A 21,904-nucleotide genomic window follows, 5' to 3' on the forward strand; every position below is an offset into this window, starting at 1 on the left:
GTCCCCAGCACTGAAGCAATCCCCAGCAGATAGTGTCACTCAAATATTTGCCAAGTGAATGAATAAAACCAGAAGAGTTAGGAAGAAATGAAGAGAGCTGCTGGGAAGAATCTGGATGTTCCTGAAGTCCAAGACTTTATTTTTTTAGGTGGGATTCATCAAAAGGAGGCAGTTTGCCTGAGGTCCCTTCCCTGGGCAAAGAGAGAAACAGGGCTGGTCTGACTCCAGGCCTGTCTGTGACTTTGATTGTTTTAACAAGCAGATGGTATTTTTGTACACAGTGACTTGGAGAACTTGGAGACGCGTATCAATGCCGCCTTTCTTCCCTGTCCCTTGCATAACAGGTTTGGTGTCTTGGATCAAGTTTGGGGCAGCATCAAACTGCGCCACTAGACTGCATCCCATGATGCAGGGATTATACTGTATTCATACCCTGCAGTGTTTGCACATAGAAGCCTTACTATAAATGTTTGCTGAGTGAAAAACAGTGAATAAATGAGCGAATATTTAAATGACAAGAACTGACAGTCTTTTGAAGTTCCTCTAGGGTGGTGCTTCTCAAACTTCAACATCCATCTGAACCATCTGGAAAGCTAGTTAAAATGCCAGGTGTGATTCAGGAGGTCCTGGGTAGCCTGAGAATCTGCATTTCTAATGAGTTTCCAGGTGATGGTATTGCTGCTGTTCTCACCTCTCCTTTGTGTAGCAAGGCTCTAGGATGTGTCCAGGATGGTCTATCTACTTGGTCAAAGATAATCTTGTGAGTTGACTAGTCATCAAAAGACCCCGATCACTTCTCAGTTTGTCCAAAAAATAACACATGCAACTTTCAGCCAGTTACTTAACCTCAGTGATCTTCAGTTTTTGTGCATAGGTGAATTGGAGATGGGTGTTAATGCCCCCTTTCTTCCCTGTCCCTTGCATATTATGCCTGATGTCTTGGATCAAGTTTTGGGCAGTATCAAACTATGCCATTAGATCATATCCCATGATGCAGGGATTACATTATATTCATACTCTGCAGTGTCTTGCACATAGAGGCCTTACTGTAAATGTTTGCAGTGAAACAACGAATAAATGAGTGAATATTTAAAAGACAAGAACTGACAGTCTTTTGAAGTTCACTTTGGAGGAACCTAGTCCAATTATCAGGAGATATTATTTGTTGAACACTTTGTACCTGCTGAGCTTCTTGATATGTGTTACGTTTACTTATCACAACAATCCTGCAAGGTGGAATTATTATCCTCATTTTTTTTTTTTTTTGAGACAGAATTTTGCTCTTGTTGCCTAGGCTGGAGTGCAATGGCCTGATCTCGGCTCACTGCAACCTCTGCCTCCCAGGTTCAAGTGATTCTCCTGCCTTGGACTCCCGAGTAGCTGGGATCATAGGGATGCGCCACCACGCTCGGCTAATTGTGTATTTTTAGTAGAGACGGGGTTTCTCCCTGTTGGTCAGGCTGGTCTTGAACTCCCTACCTCAGGTGATCCATCCACCTCGGCCTCCCAAAGTGCTGGGATTACAGGCGTGAGCCACCGTGCCTGGCCTATCCTCATTTTACAGAAGAGGAAACTAGTGCTCAGAGAGGTTAGACAACATGCCCAAGGTCCCCAAGTCAATAACCAGGAGCCAATAGCAGGGCTCTGATGATGATGATGGTGGTGTGTGTGTGTGGTGTAGTGTATGTTTGTGTTTTCATGTGTATATGTGTGTGTATGTGTGCGTGTGTTTCCCTCATACCATTTTGCTTATCAAATGATCCTTTAGGTTCTTTCCAAGTGTATGATTTTAGGTCAAAGACAAAGCATGACACAGTTCACTGTGAATTGTGAGTTATTATACAAGCTCGTGAAAGAGTCGGATACCTTTTCTGATCCTCAATATAACCTTTGTCTTCTCACCACCATAACACGTTGGTTTCTCTTCAGGAACTGATTTTATATTCTCATGAGCACATATGCAGTTTCTCCTATAGACTGTAAGATTTTTAAGAGCAAGGACTGGGTCTTATTTTTCATTTTGTTCCCTAGTGTCTTCGATCCTTATTGCATTCAGTGGTTTGATTTGAACAGAACTTTGGAAGCATGAGACAGACTCTGTACATTAAAATGCTTCCATAGCACTCACCATGGTGTCCAAAGTGTCACTAAATCTCTGCTTGCTTGAGATTTCTCTATCTTAATTAATCTTGATTTGTGCTGTTTTTTTGTGAAAGAGTAAATGCCTGTGGGAGGGCTGGGCCCCACCTACGGAGAACTCTGGTAGTGTGCCAAGAGCAGGACTGCATAATTGGTGCATGTGACAAGGAACAGAGGAGGGTGGAGGGGTCCCTGGATGATGGGGGTGCCTTCCCCTTGGCTGTCTTTATTGTGTCCCCATTGGCATTACTGTTACTGATCACTAAATCAGGGAACAGACGGAGGCGTGAGGTAGGATCCTACGACAGACAGCCTTTAGTGAGTTACCAATGACGCCAGAGTTGACCATCAAGTAAATCTGTTGCCTTTTGAAAGACATGTCTGTCTGTACAATGCTAGGGCCTGAGTTGCTTAACCTTCTAGTAAACCATGAATTTCTCTCACATGTCCTTGGGGTGATGAAAATCTTCCCGAGTTGTGCGGAGCACAAAGTAGAACCTGACAGGGAATGTTCTGAAATAATTGTGTGGATGGTGACAGGTAAAAAAATACACTGTAGAGATATCGATCCTGTACGAATGCAACCTAAGTTGTTGCTCTGTTAAGAAATGTTTTTGGAGTTCTCTATACACTAAAAAAAGAAGAAAAAGAAAAAGAAGAAAAGTGGAAAAGAAGAGATTTCTCTTGTCTTGTATGAAGCAGCAAAATAATATTCTATCAGAATTGTTTTAAATATGGTAAAGTGGGGCACTTCTATTTAAAGGGTACGTCTTTGGTTCATTTTTTATTTTTAATTGCCCTGATATCTCTTGCTTTTGGGAAAGTCCGACGCTCTGGCTCTCTGCTATCTGTTCAACCAGCCTTCAGTAGAAGTGGGAACACAAATGGCTCATTGTTTTAATTTTGGATTTCCTTAGGCTGTTGCTGTCACCTAGTCATCTCAGACACTCTTACAGGGAAACCAGCACTGGCAGGGTGTGAAGGTCATAGCAAGGGCAGCAGTGCTTCCCAGGATCATGTGCCTGGAGAGGTCGGTATGCCCTGACTTCTAAAGGGGGCCTGCCTTCCACAGGACGAGCACTTACTGAGCGCTTCTCCTGCACTTACTGTACATTCTCATCCATATGTTAGTTGTTGTTACCATAAATGTCCTCACACATCTGTGGCATGTGGATGACAAGAGCTTCTGAGTATATTTTTTAACTGTGTTTTTCGAAGGCAACTTTAAGTGCTAACAATCCAGTGGTTATATGGGTGGCTATTGACTTTCAGATTCACGGCACTGTTCTGAGTGGGTAATTCGCCGCCTTTCTCTAACTCTTATGTCCTTGAGGAACCTGAATGTACAGATGATTACCTGTACCTACTGAGCATCCTCTCGCAGAGTTGGGGCGATAAATATTCTGCAAAACCTGCTATAAAACAGTCAGCCCTGAGCAGCAGGAAACTGAATATAGTCACTCACATAGCTAAACCCAGGCTCAGGCCTACATTCACCCCTGTCCGAAGGGGGTGGAAATGAGATCATTTCACACCTCACGTGGAAGTGCAGACCTGAAAGAAGACTTGGGGCTCCCCCAGCACAGGTGTCCCCATTTTACAGGTGCCAAAGGCTGTGGCGGAGACAGAGATGGGGAGAGGAGTTGGCCGTGATGCGTCGTCATGGAGCATCTCACATGTAAGGGCCATGAGAAGTGAGGACAGAAGGGCAGCCAGGCTGGCTGGTCTTCATGTGGGCCAGTTGAGTGGGAATGCGGCACTCATGGGCCGGCGGAAGAATGAGCATTTGAGGAGGCAGAGTTCCCCACTCTTCTGAACCTCTGTTTTACAAAAGGCTTAGAATATAAAATTGGGACCTTGTCTTTGGAAAGGAGGGAGCAAAGTGTTAACCTGGACAGCTTTGGTGCACAAGGTGAGAGGTTTACCAAGGGCTCACACACTCTCCTTCATGGGAGAGGGTGCTTAGGAGGAGGTCTGGCTGCTGTGAGGTATGGGACCTGTCCAGGACCTTCTACTGCTACAGCAGGAACAGCACTGTGAGGGAGGGATGTTGCTCTTCCTATTTTTCAGTCGTGGAATGGAGGCTTTGAAAGGTTTGGTAACTTGCTCGAGATCACACAGCCAGCGAGGGGTAGCATGGGATTAAACACCAGTCGGCTCGTCTCCAAAGGCCTGACTGACAAAAACAAATTTCAATCGATTTTACTTTTCCTCTGTAATAGATGAGGAATATCTCATTTCAGAATATCTGAAGGTGACATTTGGAGTCGCTCATTGATTCAATTATTCTGAATCTTTATTTCAGAGCTTATTTATCTCAGGTTTTAGATGTGGAATGCTCCAAAACTATTCATTGGTTTCACTTCCCTTTGCATTGCTAAGTAAAGGTGATATAGGAGAACTACTCACAGGGGTGAGCACAGCAAGGGTACGAAGGATGTAAAATCAGACGCAGCTTTTCTATGCATCTTTCTTAAACACATTACTCTTAACCCAAGAGACAGTCAGGATCATTAACTTTCCTAATATTTTGTAAAGCATTCATATAGCAACATTTGGGGCACATGCGCACCTGGTCTTAAGTCAGGGCAGGAGTGGCTAATTAATTCTCTGATTCCTCAGGCTTCACAGTTTCAACCAGCCATAATTATTTTGCAATTGAGGTTCCCTCTCTGCCTAAACTGGCATTGTTATCAAGGGCTAAATGCATCAGCTTTGTAATAATGAAGATGGGTGCCAATTCCATCTTCCATATGGGATGAAGTTGGGGAGAGAGATGGTGGAGAAGCACTGGTCAGACTGTAAATGATATTGAGTAGAAAGAAGTCAGGGATTTTTGTTTTTAACATGAAAAAGAAATAGAATTGTAACTAAGTTGAAGTTTCTTTACTGTTTCATCTTGTTTCTTTACAAATTTCATCTTGTCATTTACAAGGGTTTATGCCACATAGCTATGGATTTGGGCCCAATATTTGACCTTATAGCAGCTCTAAAATATTAGACTGCAGTTAGGAAATGCCCTCTGGATCTGATTTTTAAACAGAACCAAATGCATTCTACTCTTTTCTGCTTTTAAGAGTAACACTGCTTGAGGATGCATTGAAGCCCTGCTAGACATCTTTGCTGATATTTGCCTTTAGCATTCTTTCTGGAGGTATTTAGACCTTAATAAACTACCATTATCCTTTAAAAAAGGACTGAAGAGAATAATATTTGTAGAAACAAAATAATCAAATACAGTCCTACATCATTTAATGTTGGGGATACGTTATGAGAAATGCATCGTTAGGCAATTTTGCCATTGTGTGAACGTCATAGAGTGTACTTACACAAACCTAGATGGTGCACCCTACTACTCCACACCCAGGCTACGTGGTGCAGCCTATTGCTCCTAGGCTACAAAGCTGTGCAGATGTGACTGTCCTGAATACTGTAGGCAATTGTCACACTGTAAGTATTTGTGTATCTGAACATATCTAAACAGAAAAGGTACAGTAAAAATGTGGCATTATAATCTTAGGGGACCACCATCACATACATGGTCTATTGCTGATTAAAATGTGGTTAAGTGGTACATGACTGTACTAGCATTAAAGTTCTTCCGAACTGAGAGGGTGGAATGGGAACAGGTACTGGCTTCTTGTTTTAAGGGCTGACTGGTGAGGAAGGTACTGGCTTCTTGTTTTAAGGGCTGACTGGTGAGGAACTTGCCACACAGAGCAGTAGGCTCAACTAGGCTGAAGACAGGCTACAGATAGGCTCCAGGGTTGACCCAGGGCCAAGATACAGCAGCTGCCTTGTCCTGGCTCGCTGCAGACTTGGCATCTCCAGTGCCTGTATCCCTGAATTTGTGGTTGAACTTAAGTTTGGGGAGTCCCAGTGGCCCTAATGAGACTGGAAATACCACCCTAAACAACCTCCTTTAGCAGCTAAACTGACAATAATAATCTGTTGTTTACTGCACAGGATTGAGATGAGTGTAGCAATCTCCTAGACGAAGGGCCAAGCTGCTCACCCACCTGGGTGGGGTGGTCAGTCTAGGGCGGCCCAAGGGGATTCTTGGGTCACGATGACCCTGGGGCTGATAACCAACTCACAAATACATAAATCAACAACATGAGGCTAGCTTCTGCTGGGGCTTTGTTGTCTGGTGGGCCTGAGTTTTAATCCCGGCTGACCTCTTACTAAGCGATTGTGGGTAAGTCATTCTAATTTTTTTCTCTCTGAGCCTCAAATTCCTCATCTATAAAGTGAGCATGAAATCCTATTCTAGTCATTCTGAGGGACAACTGAAGTGATATATGTGATAATATGAAATATGATAGATGTGATATATAGAACTGTAAAACTTTTAAAAAGTAAAATGCCTGTTAAATTGTTAAATATGTGTAATATGTGAAAAACTCCTGGCAAATATACCTACTAATATCCATTTCCATATAGTTCTTTTATATAAAAGGTAGAGCAGTATATGTAAACCTTCTAATAAAACACTTAGCTATAACTATGAATTCTCATGTGCTCTTCCTGCTGTCAGCCTCTCCTCCTGCTGTTAAATCTTTGCAAGGCCTCCTCTAGTTGTTATGTTCTGAAAAGATTCAAGTTTGTATCCTAGACTTCAAAGTTATGTCTCTCCTATGTGGTGTGTAGTGTATCACCCTGTACTTGGAGGTATGTGATACAAGAAACTAAGGAACTAAAATAATTCTTTTTTTTTTTTTTTTTGAGATGGAGTCTCACTCTGTCGCCCAGTCTGGAGTGCAGTGGTACGATCTTGCTCACTGCAACCTCTGCCTCCCGAGTTCAAGCAATTCTCCTGCCTCAGCCTCCGGAGTAGCTGGGATTACAGGTGCCCGCCACCATGCCTGGCTAATTTTGTATTCTTAGTAGAGATGGGGTTTTACCATGTTGACCAGACTGGTCTAAAACTCCTGACCTCAAGTGATCCACCTTCCTCAGCCTCCCAAAGTGCTGGGATTACAGACATGAGCCACTGTGCCTGGCCCCTACAATAATTCTTTAATGTGAGGAAATATCAAATGAAAAATAAGAAATTCTAGGTAAGGAAAGAAATTTATTTAGTGGAAGTATAAAAGAAGTTTAAAAAGTTGAAGAAAATTTTGGTTTTCAATGTTGATGCAGCGTCCTTTGTGAATCTTTAAATTTGTGAATGACACTTTTGAAAACTTACACCTTATTCTAAGTGTCTTTGTTCACTTTACACTGTACTGTAAAGAATCACAAGAGTGTCTCATAAATAACTTTCTATATAACATATGTATATTTCAAAATAACATGTTATATATATAATACATACAATTTTTGTCAATTAAACAGTACATTAAAAAGACAAAAATAACTTTCCATAAATGAGCTCAAGTTATTTCATCCACAGTGATAGAATGTTCCCCATTTGATGCAAGCAGTTAAACTTAATTTCCATTAAGACAAACACACAAATAACAATCCTCCTTCCCAAACTTGAAATCCCACTTCTCTTTTTGAACTCTCTTCATGAAGTAGTCCCTTTTCTTGCATTTACAACATAAAGCCTAAACCACAAATATTGGAGGGCAGGGGTTGAGGATGAGCAATTGAGATGTTCCTCATGCCCTTAAACCAAGAGTCCTTATGTTCTCTCCTTCCTAAGGATGGCTTATTTTCCTTTCCATGAAATGACTTTAAGGGTGATTATATCCAAAGGGAAGTGACGTTTCCCCTTCTTTCTCTTCAGTTGGTCCATTTTCACAGCCCACAAAAGCAAGTCTCTATTTTGGGACTTGATTCAAAGTCTGAAAAAACCCTAGGCACATCTTTCTTCCTTGAATATGTTCACGTGCATATTCCAAAAAAGGTTCTCATTGCTAGTTAGGCCATTAATTTTATGTGATATCCAAATCAAACAGCTGCTGTACTGTTTAAGCTCAGATCCTAAAATGGCACTTTGAACATGAAAGTCGTGGCTGCCACTCTCTGGGTGACTATCTGGCGATGACACTTCTACCTTTGTTTTTGGCTTGACGTGCATATGCCGAAGGCTTCAGCAAACATAAACTCATACAAATGTTTGTCAAGCTGTGTGAGCCTAAACAGCTCATTAGTTGCAAGAATGATCAGATGGGAGATGGGTTGCCCAATTTGGATGGTGACCTTTATGAGCTCTCGGTTGGATTGCAGATTTATGTGTCACAGTATATTGGAACATAATGAATCCTGTGGCATGTGGATGGTAAAATGCAGGGCAGAAACTGTGCAATGAAGAGGCAGGAAGAAGGTGGCAGGTCCAGGAGCATAAGAGCAGTTAATCATCTCCTTTCCCCCTTCCCCTATTCTGCTTCCCCTCTGTTCTCGGGGTGCCCATTAAAATGCAGTTGGTAATGAAATGCTGTTTGAAATCAAAGTTGCTGAAACGATATTGTGGATATTGTGGAAATCTGTCATATTTATTTTAAGGATGAGCTTACTTCCAGGTGCTTTCAGTGACTGCAGCCCCGTTAGTTCCCATGCATTGATTCTCTCTCATGTCCCTGCTCCAGGGTAATTCTCTTGTGCTCAGGCACATGACCTTCTAGTTGAAAACCTGCCCCTGCCATTTCTTTATGTGGCTGCGGCCCAGGGAGCTTGCCTGCCCTGCGTGAGCAGGTTGCAATGATAATGGTTCCCAGTGCTGCTCAGTGGGGAACTGAAGTCATGGTATTTTCCTTCATATCCTCTTGAAGCTTCATTTTGTGACCTTGTTTCATCCTGCTGAACCTATCATTGGAATTACCCCAAAGGTGGTGGCAGGGGAGTCCCCAGAAAGGAGTGCCCCAAACTTTCCCAAGATGGGGCCTACTGAGATTCCAAAGAAAGAAGCAGTAAAAGCCGGAGTGATCAGGCCAAAGCATTCATTAGGGGAACTTAGGCAGAGTGGGCTGCAGCAATCCTGCGGCGGCAGCATGAAAAAAGGGGTCTTCCACCTAGAAACATCCACAGCGAGGTGCTCAGGGGATGGAGTTTACATGAGGGTTTAAGGAATTTGGCTCAGGGCCAGGGCCAGTTTCTTTCAGTGTTTTGGGCAAAAGCTTAGATACCTTTATCAATGTGTGGGAATGTTCAAGGCCCTGGTTTGGGTTCAAGCCTGCTGGGAAAAACCTGCAGCTGTCTGGGTCACAGAGCGGTCAAGGCACTCTGTGAGTTTTGGTCACAACAGAAAGGCAAGGGCTCTAGGGGACCCTCCAGAACTACAGGCTCCAATGTCAGCCCCACTTTCCCAAGTACAAATTTATTTCAGAAATTAAAGTACTACTCTTACTTTTTCACACATTTCGAAGTCATGTGTTGACATGGATAGCCTGTCTAGCACAGGAAAACTCTGATCTATTTAACTGATTTAAAATGTTTATAATTGATTATCTGGATAAGTGTCATTGATGGCACTCCAGGTGTGTGAAGACGCCACTGGCCTGGGAATCACGACATGTGGGGTTTGTCCCAGATCCCTGCCATGCCATTTAAACACCATGGGCCTCAGTTTCCTCACAGCAAAAATTAGGGTTATACTAGATATTCTCCATGGACCTTGTCAAGTATTTTTTGTGATGCTGGGATTTTATAACTAACACAGGCAAACAATAACCTAGAATGATTAGAATCTTGAAAAAATTGTTTGTTTGTTTGTTACAGAGAATCTTGAAGTTAGCTGAAGTCTGTTTGACTTTCTTCCGGAATCAGCACAGTCCAAATGCAGCCATGACTTCTCACTGTCAGAACTAGACGGGCCACACTGAGAAAGAATGTGGACCGGCTACCCGGAATCTGGCCGCTTAGTGCATTCAAGAATGCTGCTTGGTTTCTATGGCTGTGATTTCCAAGCATTTTCTAAAAGGTTTATAGAGGAGAAACCTAAGTGCCTGCCACCACCCCACCTTGAAGTCAAATTTCCCTGAAGGCACTGGAGCATAGGGAGAAAAACATCAGCTAACTCTTGCCGCTATAGGCCCGGGTTAAATTGCAGCTGGGAAATTCATTCCAGTGGCTTGCCGGGCTAAACACAATTGTGGATGGAGCCTGGAGAAGCATCCAAGCAAACAACCACTTGTGTCAGTTCAGTTGTTTCACCAAAAAAGCAAAATAAAACAGATTTTACTAACTCAATTAATAATTCAGTTGCCCCATAAAATATAGCCTCACTGAATTTCTTGTCTTGTCTTCCAAGACATTAAGTCAGGGCTTATTTATAGCCATGGCTCTCTTCCCTGGCTAAGCATCCGGGCCACCTGCCCCAGCAGGTGAGCCCTTGGTCCAAGGTGGTCCTGGACTCAGCATGTTTTTCAGAGTTCTCCAGGTAATTCCAATGGTTAGTCAATTTATCATTCATTTGGGGCTGATTATCAGTCTTCCATGTGGATAAAACCAGTTAATTTCCTGTGGATCTTTTTTGAAAGCCTTATTAAGAGGAGGGAGCCCTGTTTTGAACTTGTGTCATGAGCTCTGCCTGTCTCTGGAGGTGGCAAGGGTGCTCGTCTTCATTCTGGTCTGTGTCGCATGCTGTCTTCCTCTGTCTCCCTACTCTTTCTCAACCTTCTTATTTACTATTCCACACACTCGCTGGGTTAGACAACCTTTTCTGTTGTTCTGCTGAAGGTTACAATTTGGAGTCGATTCCTGTAGTCTTCCTTTTTCTATTCACTTTCAAAAAAGATGTTGCAAAGTCCAAGTTTCTTCCTCATGTTCCGTTTCTCTGGGGAGTGCTGTAGAAGTTTCCATACCTTCCTGCTTCTGGCCTTCTTAGTATTTTAATAACTCCTGCCTTGTTCCCAGGTTTCTCCAAGTATCTGGGGAAAGTAGAAACCTCAGAGATGGGGTCTGGAAATGTAAAACGTTGATGAATTTCAGGGTCACCCTTGTGAAAGCTATTGATTGGTCAGAGGTATTCTGGAAAAGTCTGCAAAATCCAGAAGCTAATTTCTATTTTAAAATACACCCTATAACTCTTGAGTGCCCACTCATCCTCAGCTGGCTCTGGGGAATGGTGTCTGAGCTCACGGTCTCATCTGTGGGAGCTGCATCTCATCAACCTATTTTGGAAACCAGCATACTTCTGGTTCTGAGAATTCAGCTTAAAAACAATACCTAGTTTCCTGTATAATCCCCCCACCAAAAAAAAGTTTGCAATGTGCCCCATGTCTATCTGACACATTTTCACTTGTTTCTTCATTGATGATCTAGGTCTGTCCACCCTGCTCTATTTCTTTTCTATTTATCTCCATTATCTTAGTCTATTTGGGCTGCTGTAACAAAGTACCATAGACTGAGTGGCTCATAAATAACAGAAATGTATCTCTCACAGTTCTGGAGGCTGGGAAGTCCAGAATCGAGGCAGTGGTAGATTCGGTGTCTGGTGAGGGCCTGTTTCCAGGTTCATAGATGGTGCCTTTTCAATATGTCCTCCCATTCTGGAAGGGGCGAGGGAGCTCTCTGGGGCCTCTTTTGTAAGGGGACTAATTCCATTCACGGAGATTCTAACCTCATGACCTAATCACCTCCCAAAACCCCTACATCTTAATACCATCACTTTGGGGTTAGGATTTTAACAAATGAATTTTGGGAGGGCACAAACATCAGTCTGTAACATCCATTTGATGCCTACTTCAAAATTTTTTGTTGCTATTACATCAAAATCTCTTCTGGCTTTTTCTGAAAGTGGATTTCTATGTAACCACTTTTTCTTTTCTTTTGCATTATGACTGAGTTTTTCTTCTTAAGAAAACAAGAAGCACGGGTAGATGATGGAGAGCATGAGTGCCAGAGAGTAAGGAAGCCTGGGCTCTTCTGCCAGATTTTGTGTTAGTCGAAAACTGAGGACTTGGAGGGTTGATGAGCTGAGCTTTTCGTTGGGGCTCCTCTTTCCCATCCATGTATTGTTCCAGCAGTACAAAGTTTGTCAATCAGAGAGAATGTGGGTTCCCATGGCAAGGTGGCTTCCAGTTTTCATACTCTGTAAAAGGCTTAGTGATGGAAGGAGATTAAATGTAATGCTTTAATGTGGATTTAGGTAGAGATCTTGTACCACAGAAAATTGGAAATCAAGGGTGAAAAACTGAGAAATGGAGTGATGTCTTTTTCTTCCATACAATTTCATATTTGCAAAGTAAATTAACTCTAAATAGTTTAGGGTTTTATTCCAGAAATCTATAAAACTTTAAAGAATCTTGGCATCTGATTGATTTTTCTAGTTTATGAAAAACTGACAATATTCTAAGCCAAAGACACATTCAACATAATAATGCAGGTTGAGTATCCCTTATCTAAAATGCTTGGGACAAGAACTGTTTTAGATCTAGGATTTTTTTTTGAATATTTGCTTATTTACCTGTTGAGCATCTCTAATCCCAAAATCCAAAATCCAAAATCCAAAATGCTCCTGTCAGCATTTCCTTTGAGCATCATGTTGGTGCTCAGAAAATAGTGAATTTTGAAGTATTTCAAATTTCAGATTTTTGGATTAGAAACCTACATATCAAAAAATATTTTGTGTAATGTCTTACGATGTGTGTGTTTGGAGCCTTCTCAGGGTTAAGCAGATATGAAAAGCCCACGTTTTCAGGAAAGAATTTAAGAAAATAAAGGGCCAACATTTTTTCCCTCCTGGCTCCATGTCATAATATTTTTGCCGGCTGCAGAGTCTATTCTTTTCTATCTTCAGACTTATCACTATCAAGCATTTTCCATTCCCCACAATTCTCATTTTTTGTTATCTTTTTGCACTTGCAAAAACTGAAATTTGGCTTGAATGAGACACATTTCCCTACCCTTTATCTCTCACTGATTCATTCCTTGAATTGGGACAAATCTTTCTAATCTAAGCCAGTTTCATCCTCTTGCAATACAGTAACCTGTGTCAGCAGAGTCCTGTGTGGGATGAGTTTGGCAGAATTGCAGACTGCATTTTTGGACCTAGCAGTTGAAGATGATTCTGTCCCTCATCAATTTTTTTCCGCAAGGGCACTTTTGCCTTCAAATGGTATTGTGTTTTTCTATTTCCTTTATCTAAAGAAAGTCTTCAACTTAGTTTTGTTCTGTTCCTGTGAATGTCGGCACAGGAAAGTCCTTGAAGAACATGAGAAACAGGAGCTTCATCTGGGCTCTGTGATGGTGCCGTTGTATGAATTGAAATCCATCAGGGTGGGACTGGTTATCTGTCTAACAAAGATGCAATGAGACATGATTGAGAGTGTGCTTCGGGTGGAGTGTTTCTTACATTTTGAGGTTAAAAGCCTTTTCTGTCATTGTTTTTATTATTTATTTATTTATTTTTATTAGAGATGGGGTCTTGCTACATTGACCAGGCTAGTCTTGAACTCCTAGCCTCAAGCAATCCTCCCCCACCTTGGCCTCCCAACGTGCTGAGATTACAGGAGTGAGCCACCGCACCCAGACTCTGTCATTGATTTTGACAAGTTTTTTTTTTTTTTTTTTTTTTTTTGGTTGTTGTGGTTTTGGAAGTTTTTTCTCAGAAAGGACATACTTGACTGAATTTTTCTCAGAGCCTAATTATTATTTAGTTATTTGTATTTATTTCTTTTTGATTTCACTACAGTAGCCACTATATCTTGAGTAAATTTAGCTTTTAACTTGCTTTATGTTTTGGTAGATCTTAGTGATTATGCAATTTGATGATGCCATTCAATATCAAGGTCAGACCACAGCATGTACAAGAGGTTGCTGTCACGTGATAGTTTTCCATTTTCATCTCTTAGTATGCTCTCTTATTTCTTGCTTTGCTCATTCAATGAATGTTTTAAGAGTCTGATTGAGATATTACCTCATAGTAGATTACTTTCCCATTAATGTTTGCTCACTCATCTGTAGGCCTAGGAAGCTTTATATCTATTTACAACAGCGACTAGGACCAATAGTGTGCTGTTAAATGCTTAGGAACCAGTTCTCCAGGAAAAAAAAGTCCTGATTGGCAACGTCTGGCCATTTCCATAGTGTAAATCTCCCACTGTGGCTGATTTCCAGCTATTTCTGGTTTAACAAGTGGCTCACAAAATTCTTGAAAGTTTATCAACTGGCTTTCACCAGGAGGATGGCTCCAGCACCCACCACACCTGACAACAGTTATATTACTTTACGGATGATAAAAAGCTTTATCATCGTTTTATTTCATTTCTGATTTACAAAACAACCCTGTAGAGTAGGTGGTGTTATACATGAGGCATCTGAGACTCAGAGGCCTAAGTGGCTGGAAGTAGCTCCAGCAGCTATTATTAGGCAGAGCAGAGACGGAATGCTGCCTCTGAGCTGAGCATTCTTGGTGTTCTCATCACTCATGGCAACTGTTTCCCATTGTGAGGATTCCCTTAGTGGTGTCATATTTGGACTCCAAAGAAGTATACTCAAGAAATGACTACTTCGATGGTTTTAGCAGATAATTTTTAGTTATTTGAGGATAAGAATAATAGTCTGCTTATGAAAGAACTTGGTAAATTTTTTTCTTCTGGTTTTCAGACACCATTTCTGTCTTAAAATGAAGTATCTGGTGTATGATTGCTTTGTAATATTTTGTTACTTAAGGGTGGTATCCAGACAACCCTTAGTTAATGTTATAGAATCAGAACTAGAAAGACCTCTTCATTCTTCACTTAGAGAGGATTTAAGTGTCTCTGGCCATTTATTGGGTTAATAATGGTGACTTCAGGTGACCCAGGAAACATCTGGATATCTTTGCTGCACTTGGAAAGACATTTAGTTTGGTAATATTTTCAAATCATGTGATCATTTCAAAATGACTTGCACCATGGAGTGATGATGTGATGCTGGCAGCAGCTGCTGTTTGCTGGAGATTTCGTGTGTCAGGCACAGTTGGGAATACTTTATGAATATTAGTTTATTTCTCACCTTGAAGGTAGACATTGTTCTCAGTTTGTTGAAATCGAGGCTCATGTAAGTAAAAAATGCCCACATTCATAGCAAATAAGTGACAGAGTTAGTCTCTGACTCTGCAAAGGACTTATATGGCTTTTGTATAATAAAGTCGGTCACCCCATTTTGGTAATAAAAGGGATAATAAAAGACCAACATGTCTTCATTAGCTTGCAGATAAGCTCCAAGTTTCAGCACGTGCATAGTTTGTAATGCCTTCACAGGGTCTGCAGGCTCATTGCCATGAAAATATAGAACTAACAAGAATTTAGTTTTGATTGACATAGTTTATAAAATGTTCTTTTTTTTTTTTTTTTTTTTTTTTTTTTTTTTGAGACAGGGTCTCTGTCGCCCGGGATGGAGTGCTGTGGTGCGATCTTGGCTCACTGCGGTCTCTGCCTCCCAGGTTTAAGCAATTTTCCCACCTCAGCCTCCACAGTTGCTGGGACTGCAGGTACCCGCCACCATGCCTGGCTAATTTTTGTACTTTTAGTAGAGAAGGGGTTTCACCATGTTGGCCAGGCTGGTCTTGAACTCCTGGCCTCAAGCAATTTCCTTGCCTTGGCCTCCCAAAGTGCTGGGATTACATGCGTGAGCCACCGCGCCTGGCCTAAAACATTCTTTTAACAAAAGCATAGCTTTATGTTGAATTCAGGTAGATTCGAACCATTGCTTTTAATAACACAATATGGGTTCTTTCAGACTCTTGGGGTAGATTGAACTTCTCATAAAACTGTCATGGGACAGATTGCAACTTCTTTCCAATATCAGAATCTCTAGGTGAGTTCATCCATTTCTTTGCCCTGGGCTTTTTAAGAAAGTAGGGCAATGAGTCCCTGGTTTCTCATCTCCGTAAGAATGAAAGGATGCTGGAGCCAAGGTCTAGTCTACTGCCAGTTTCTCCAGGAACAATGTGGAGGAAAAGGACCAGTGTAGATCAGAAGTCCATGAGCGGAAACTCAGAATCAAAGCGGTTATTCAATTCTTCTTTTCTTGGAGGAAATCACTGTGTCGCCTGAAGAGAAAAATGCCCTTTGCTCTTGCACTGGGGAGTTCTGTTTAGTGCCTTTCCACACAAAAGGGCTGTACTGGCTGGTACTATAGACTTTTTTTATGAAGATCTTTTTCATAAATCCTTTTGCAGAGTATAGCCAGGTAGCAGTATATGAACATTGGAAGTGAAACAGTTTTCGTCACACAAAATTAACAATAAAAACACATGCAACTCATCATTTATAAAACGATACTTGCAATTTTTCATTATTCTCATTTCTGAGGGCAAATTTTCAGATGAAAACAGAAAGGAATTTTAGAAGTTTTCATTTTTTTTTCCTACATCAGGCTTCCCTATATGTCGTCTGTATAACAAGCACCTTGATCTTTCATTCAGTTATAAGAGGCTCATAAGCGTTGCCTCTGTTTTCTATATATTGGTAGTGTCATTAGAAAACCTGAGGGGGTGGGCCGGGCGCAGTGGCTCACGCCTGTAATCCCAGCACTTTGGGAGGCCGAGGTGGGCAGATCACGAGGTCAGGAGATTGAGACCATCCTGGCTAACACAGTGAAACCCCGTCTCTATTAAAAATACAAAAAATTAGCTGGGTGTGGTGGTGGGCGCCTGTAATCCCAGCTACGCAGGACGCTGAGGCAGGAGAATGACATGAACCCGGGAGGCAGAGCTTGCAGTGAGCCAAGATCGCACCACTGCACTCCAGCCTGGGTGACAGGGAGACTCGTCTCAAAAACAAAATAAAACAACAACAACAACAAAAAAATCTGAGGAGGTGGACACCATTTTTTGGTACTGAACGACGTGATGACCGTTTAAAAAGAAAGGTAGATGTTAAGAAGGCTTCCTTATACAAAAATTCTTGTATATTGTTCCTTCCAATTTTATTTTTGTTTTGATATATAAAATCCTATGTTAAATCTCTCATCCTGAATATCAGATTACTCCAGAAGGAGAAAGTAGCAGTCTAATTATTTTATTTGGTTGCATGGTAGTCTTAGTACAATTAAATCTCCTTTGAAAGTTTCTCAGTTATGTAGTTATGAATAGCACTCCACACCACGGCTGTGGTAGACCTGGAGCGGTATTGGGCCCAGGTCACAGAATGATCACGGAAGGACTTTAGAGATCACCTATTGAGTCCCTGTTTTAGAGAGGAGCAAGCAAAGGCCCAGAGAACTCACTCCATTTGCCGAGGTCCGACAAGTGTGTAGGTGAGCTGGAGCCAGAACCCTGTCTTTCGGTCTTCACTCTAGAGCTCTTTCCAAACAAACATGCTGACCTGGGAGTCTGACAATTGCTGTATGCTGATGTTTCCTATTTGAAGTCCACATGTCTTTGCAGGGGAAGAGAACTGTCTAGTATCATTCGTTAATGCCCACTCTTCATGTTTGCCAAAGACCACCAATACATTGGGCAGTGATTGTGTTACACTGGTTTGTTTATATGTCGGCTTTCAGTGATGCCAGAAAATCAAAAGGAGGTTAAGAAATCCCAGAGGTTCACCCAGGATGGGAGGCTAAACCTTTGTTGTATTATGAGTCTTAATTCAAGATAACATAATCTTTAGCCTAATAAACATTAGGTTGAATTTTGAAAATGTAAACACTAACTGATCTGTAGACTGACGTCTATTTCCTTGGCAATATTGGCCACACCCATTAAATAATAACTTCTCATTCTCCCTTCCCCCAGCCTCTGGCAACCTCTGTTATACTTTCTGTCTCTGAATTTGACTACTTTAGGTGCCTCATATAAGTGGAATCACATGACATTTGTCCTTTTGTGATACGATATTTTCTTTAAAAAGAAAATGAACAGAAACAGTACATGAGAGAAGTCAGGTCTGCAGCCAGTGTGCCTCTTAGTTCCATATTCATACAAGGCCCTCTTGGAAGCTCAGCTTTGGAGTTGGATATTATCTCAGAAGATATGGCAGCTTAGGAATCTGGTACTCTAAAAACAGATTTACAAGCATTAGACTTTTTTGTATATGTGTGTGGTCATTTTAGTCTTCCTGAAAGTGGTTAAGACCAATATTTCTAGGCAGACTATAGTTCACATCATCCAGTTCTGTAAGTCTTGGATTATCGATCTCATTGTCATGGCAAAAAAGGACAGGGATTACTCAACTCATTACTCCTGTGTCCAGACCTCTGAGCCTGGTGTGTGTGTGTGGCTCAGTGCCTTTCCCATAGTGGCCCACATCCCCCCAGGGCCCTGCATGAAGTTCCTGCAAGTCTACCCCCTGCACGTGCAGAGCAAAAAGAGCTTCCTATGGGAGCTGTTCTCCAGAAAAGACAGAAACCCGGGCCCTAGAGAACCAGAAGATTTAAATTCCAGTTTCAGCTCTGCCATTGACTAATTAGGCAACTGTAGGCAGTTCACTTTGCTCCTTTGGACCAGAGATTTCTCATCTACAAAATGAAAAACTTGGATTTAATTATCTCTGAAGTCACTTCAAGCAGAAATGTAACAATTCTTTGATTTATTAAAAAAAATAACATCAATGATAATGACCAACAGCTAACACTTATTACAAGGCTCCAGGCACTTTCGAAGTCCTTAATATTTAATGTTCACTACTACCTTAGGATATAAGTACTGTGATGCAGAGTCCTGGACACAGAGAAGTCAGCAACTTGCCTGAGGACAGCCTGCAGGACACAGCACTGTGATTTGAACCCAGAGAGTCTGACTTCAGCCCCCAGCGCTCAACTACTATTAATTGAAAGGGCATTGAAGAGACATGATGTCACAATAAAAAGAAAAAAAGAAAAGAAAGCATGTCTTCGACTTTCTAGTCGTCGTGCTTTGTATGGATTCTTCTTTCAACCTTGACGAAAGGGTATAATTAATCTGTAATTAAAGTCATGATAGTTTCTTAATACGAGGAAATGTTGTCATTGCGGTTCTCTGAACACAAGAGGGCGCTGTGGCAAAGCTTACCGTCTGCTCATCCTCTGCCGCAGGAGGGTACAACTTCGTGGGACAAACTTCAAAAGAAAGATGCCATTTCTAAGACCTCATTTATCACCTCGGGATAGCCAGTCTTCATGCCTTTAAAATACAGAATAAAAATAACACATAAATCAACACAATTACATTCCTTCTTGATAGCATCACCAGTCTTCTTGAGGCCTGGCGTCAAACCTCTGCTTCAGTGTTACGTTATGGGGTGCGCATGCCTCCTTAATACCCACCTTGCTGGTATTCTCCAGATGGCTGTCTTCTTAGCAGTAGATGGAATTAAGCACCATAATGAGGGATATTTTATTTAAATCTGCTTTAAAAAAATCTTCCATGACTTATTCACATGTCTGGTTAGCTATCACACTGCCATTCCATGTGATCGGAAATGAGAAAGATTTAAAGAAAGTAATTGTTTAGCATGCAACGGATGTACCTCTTTTGCTTCAGATGAGAATAGGCAGCATAGAAGAACTGGGGCTGATTCGTGGAAGGTTTCCCGTAGCTAGACCCTGGAGGCTGTAAAAAGTGGTTTGGAACTGTGTTTAAAAAATAATAATAATAGAGGGAATAGTGAGGTACCCAGGAGGAGCAGAGAGCGCCTGTTCCAGCCATGGGAGCATCCCCATCAGATACATAGATGCTCTTAATTAATTAGGCTGCTAGTAAACCCTCCTGAGTGTGCAAGACAGGAGGAATTCATTTTCAAGCTTTAAAAAAAAAGATGAGTCTTGGGCACACAGCCCTGTGGCCCATTTGTTATTGTCGTGTTACCCATAAGTCAGCAGTTTTCCTCTCCTGTTGTTGATAGATCTTCCCATACAGTTAGATTTGTTTAGAAAGAAAAGTTTTAAGTCCTTGCAAATGATTACAAACTGAAGAACTGGAAACCCTGGTTAGGAAACAGTTGGAGCACTATGTATGGCTTAATGAAAGGACACAGTCTTTTTAATCCACCAAGCCTGAATCATCAGCTTGGTTAAGACTATCTGTAGAAGGTGAGCAGAGCACTTCAAACCTGGCTATTCGCAAGGGAGAGAAAAAAGCTGCCACTGTCCCCTTAGCATTCCTCTGCTAATCTTCCATTTGTATTGCAATAAGTGTGCTTTGGCATTGAGTGTGTTTTAAAGCTCCTGCTTAGCTGGCTGGGGGACAAGAAAAAACAAAACCTCAAGGACACTCCCACTCAGAGGCATAAAAAAATAAACAGTTGTTTCTGCTTTTGAGAAGAAGTCACATGCATGTGGCTGGCATTCTCAGGTGGGCAAAGGAGAGTGCTCGGTAGCACCTGCCCCAAACCCTCCGTTCTCCCCTTTTTAGGTCAGAAGAGATTCTGCTTTCCTATCTTGTCTCCAGTTTTCACTCTTAGTCCGTATTTTCCCTCCCCTTTTCCACTCTGTCCTTAACTCCTCTTTCCCTCTTTCATCGTTTTCCTTTATTTTTCATCTCTTTCTTTATTCCTTCTCAAGGGTTTGCCGGTGGTTTTGCTAGGCAATACTGAGCTTCAAGGCCATTGTCATGGAAGTTTCCAGTCCTGGGATGTGCTTAGACCAGCCTTTAACTATGCATCCTCAAAACAGCTGGCAGCCTAATCAAACCTTATTTTTTTTCTCTTTGTGAGAGAGGTGAAGAAGATGATAACATGAAATGAAATCTAGGGCCTTTAGAAAGAGTCAGCAAACCAGGCGCAGTGGCTCACATCCATAATCCCAACACTTTGGGAGGCTGACGTGGGGATCACTTGAGGCTAGGAGTTCAAGACCAGGCTGGGCAACATAGCAAGACCCCATCTCTTATATATATATATATATATATATATATATATATATATATATATTTAGCTGGGCATGATGGTAAGCAACCATAGTCCTGGTCACTCAGGAGGCTAAGGCAGGCGGATTGCTCAAGCTCAGGAGTTTGAGGCTTCAGTGTGCTGTCATTGTGCCACTGCACTCCAGCTTGTGTGACAGAGTAAGACCCTGTCTCTAAAAAGGAAAAAAAAAAAAAAAGAGTTACCGGTTATACATTTTTGAGAGGAGCAATGGGGAAATGCAATCATGGGGTAATAATAATCAGGACAAGAGCAGGGGTATGTACTGTCCCCCACCCTGCTGCCCTAAATGCGAGGAAGAAGCCACGTTGCTGGACCCATAATGAGAAGCTTCAGAAGGTTGATAGAGAGTGCTGATCTTGAAGACATTTAGTCTGGGACACAGACTACATATCAGCATGTCAAACATATCAGCTTGCTTGAATGAATGAGTGAATGAATGAATGAGTGAATGAAAAGTGGTGAAGGAAGAAGATGGTTGGGTTTGGGAGAAGAATATGCCTGAAAGATATACAACCACCGGGGAGTCTGTCTTGTCTTTACAGACACTTAACTCAGGAACAGACTTGCTGGTTGTCTTGAGTGTGAAGTGCAAAAAGTAAAAATGGCCCTCAACAAAAATATAAGTCAGGCCTGTGTTAGAGATGTCAAAGATGAAGACCTTTATGATGATCCATTTCCACTTAATGAATAGCGTCTTAGTCCATTTTGTGTTGCTATAATGGAATAATTGTGGCTGGGGAATTTATAAAGAAAAGAAGTTCATTTGGTTCATGGTTCTGCAGGCTGTACAAGAAGCATGACACTGGCATCTGCATCTGGTGAGGGCCTCTCTCTCTTGCTTCCTCTCTGGCCATGTGATCTCTGGCCAGAGAGGAAGCAAGAAAGAGGAGGAGGTGCCAGGCTCTCTAGGGGAACTAATAGAGTGAGAATTCATTCACCCCCGAGGGAGAGTATTAATCTGTTCAAGGGTGACCTGCACCTATGCCTCAAACACTGCCCATTGGGCTCCACCTTAAACATTGGGGAGCAAATCTTAACTTTAG

At 41.8% G+C, this 21,904-nt stretch overlaps 1 protein-coding gene and 1 long non-coding RNA gene across 12 annotated transcripts in view, besides 1 other annotated feature; both read left to right on the forward strand.

Moving 5' to 3' along the window:
• The window catches only part of TSNAX-DISC1 (TSNAX-DISC1 readthrough (NMD candidate)), a 512,620-nt gene that overhangs the window by 319,219 nt on the left and 171,497 nt on the right, over positions 1-21,904 (forward strand). The window lies entirely within an intron of this gene.
• DISC1 (DISC1 scaffold protein) overlaps positions 1-21,904 on the forward strand; it is a 414,483-nt gene that overhangs the window by 221,082 nt on the left and 171,497 nt on the right. Inside the window, exon 10 of one of the 11 annotated variants that reach the window (NM_001012959.2) lies at positions 18,652-18,837. The exons of 9 other annotated variants lie outside the window; for them this stretch is intronic. In NM_001012959.2, the coding sequence (NP_001012977.1) occupies positions 18,652-18,707 (56 nt within the window). In that variant the 3' untranslated portion in view covers positions 18,708-18,837. Of the gene's footprint in view, positions 1-6,867; positions 7,510-18,651; positions 18,838-21,904 lie in introns of those variants that run through there. One more of the 11 variants, NM_001164539.2, reaches the window with a different exon arrangement.
• Positions 21,757-21,806: a silencer, noted in NCBI's record as "silent region_1956". NCBI's record gives its function as "represses an Ori minimal core promoter by ATAC-STARR-seq in GM12878 lymphoblastoid cells {active_cell/tissue: GM12878}" and the evidence as "EXISTENCE:reporter gene assay evidence [ECO:0000049][PMID:35858748]".

The sequence above is a fragment of the Homo sapiens genome, chromosome 1 (genome assembly GCF_000001405.40).
Source record: "Homo sapiens chromosome 1, GRCh38.p14 Primary Assembly".
Taxonomy (NCBI): domain Eukaryota; kingdom Metazoa; phylum Chordata; class Mammalia; order Primates; family Hominidae; genus Homo; species Homo sapiens.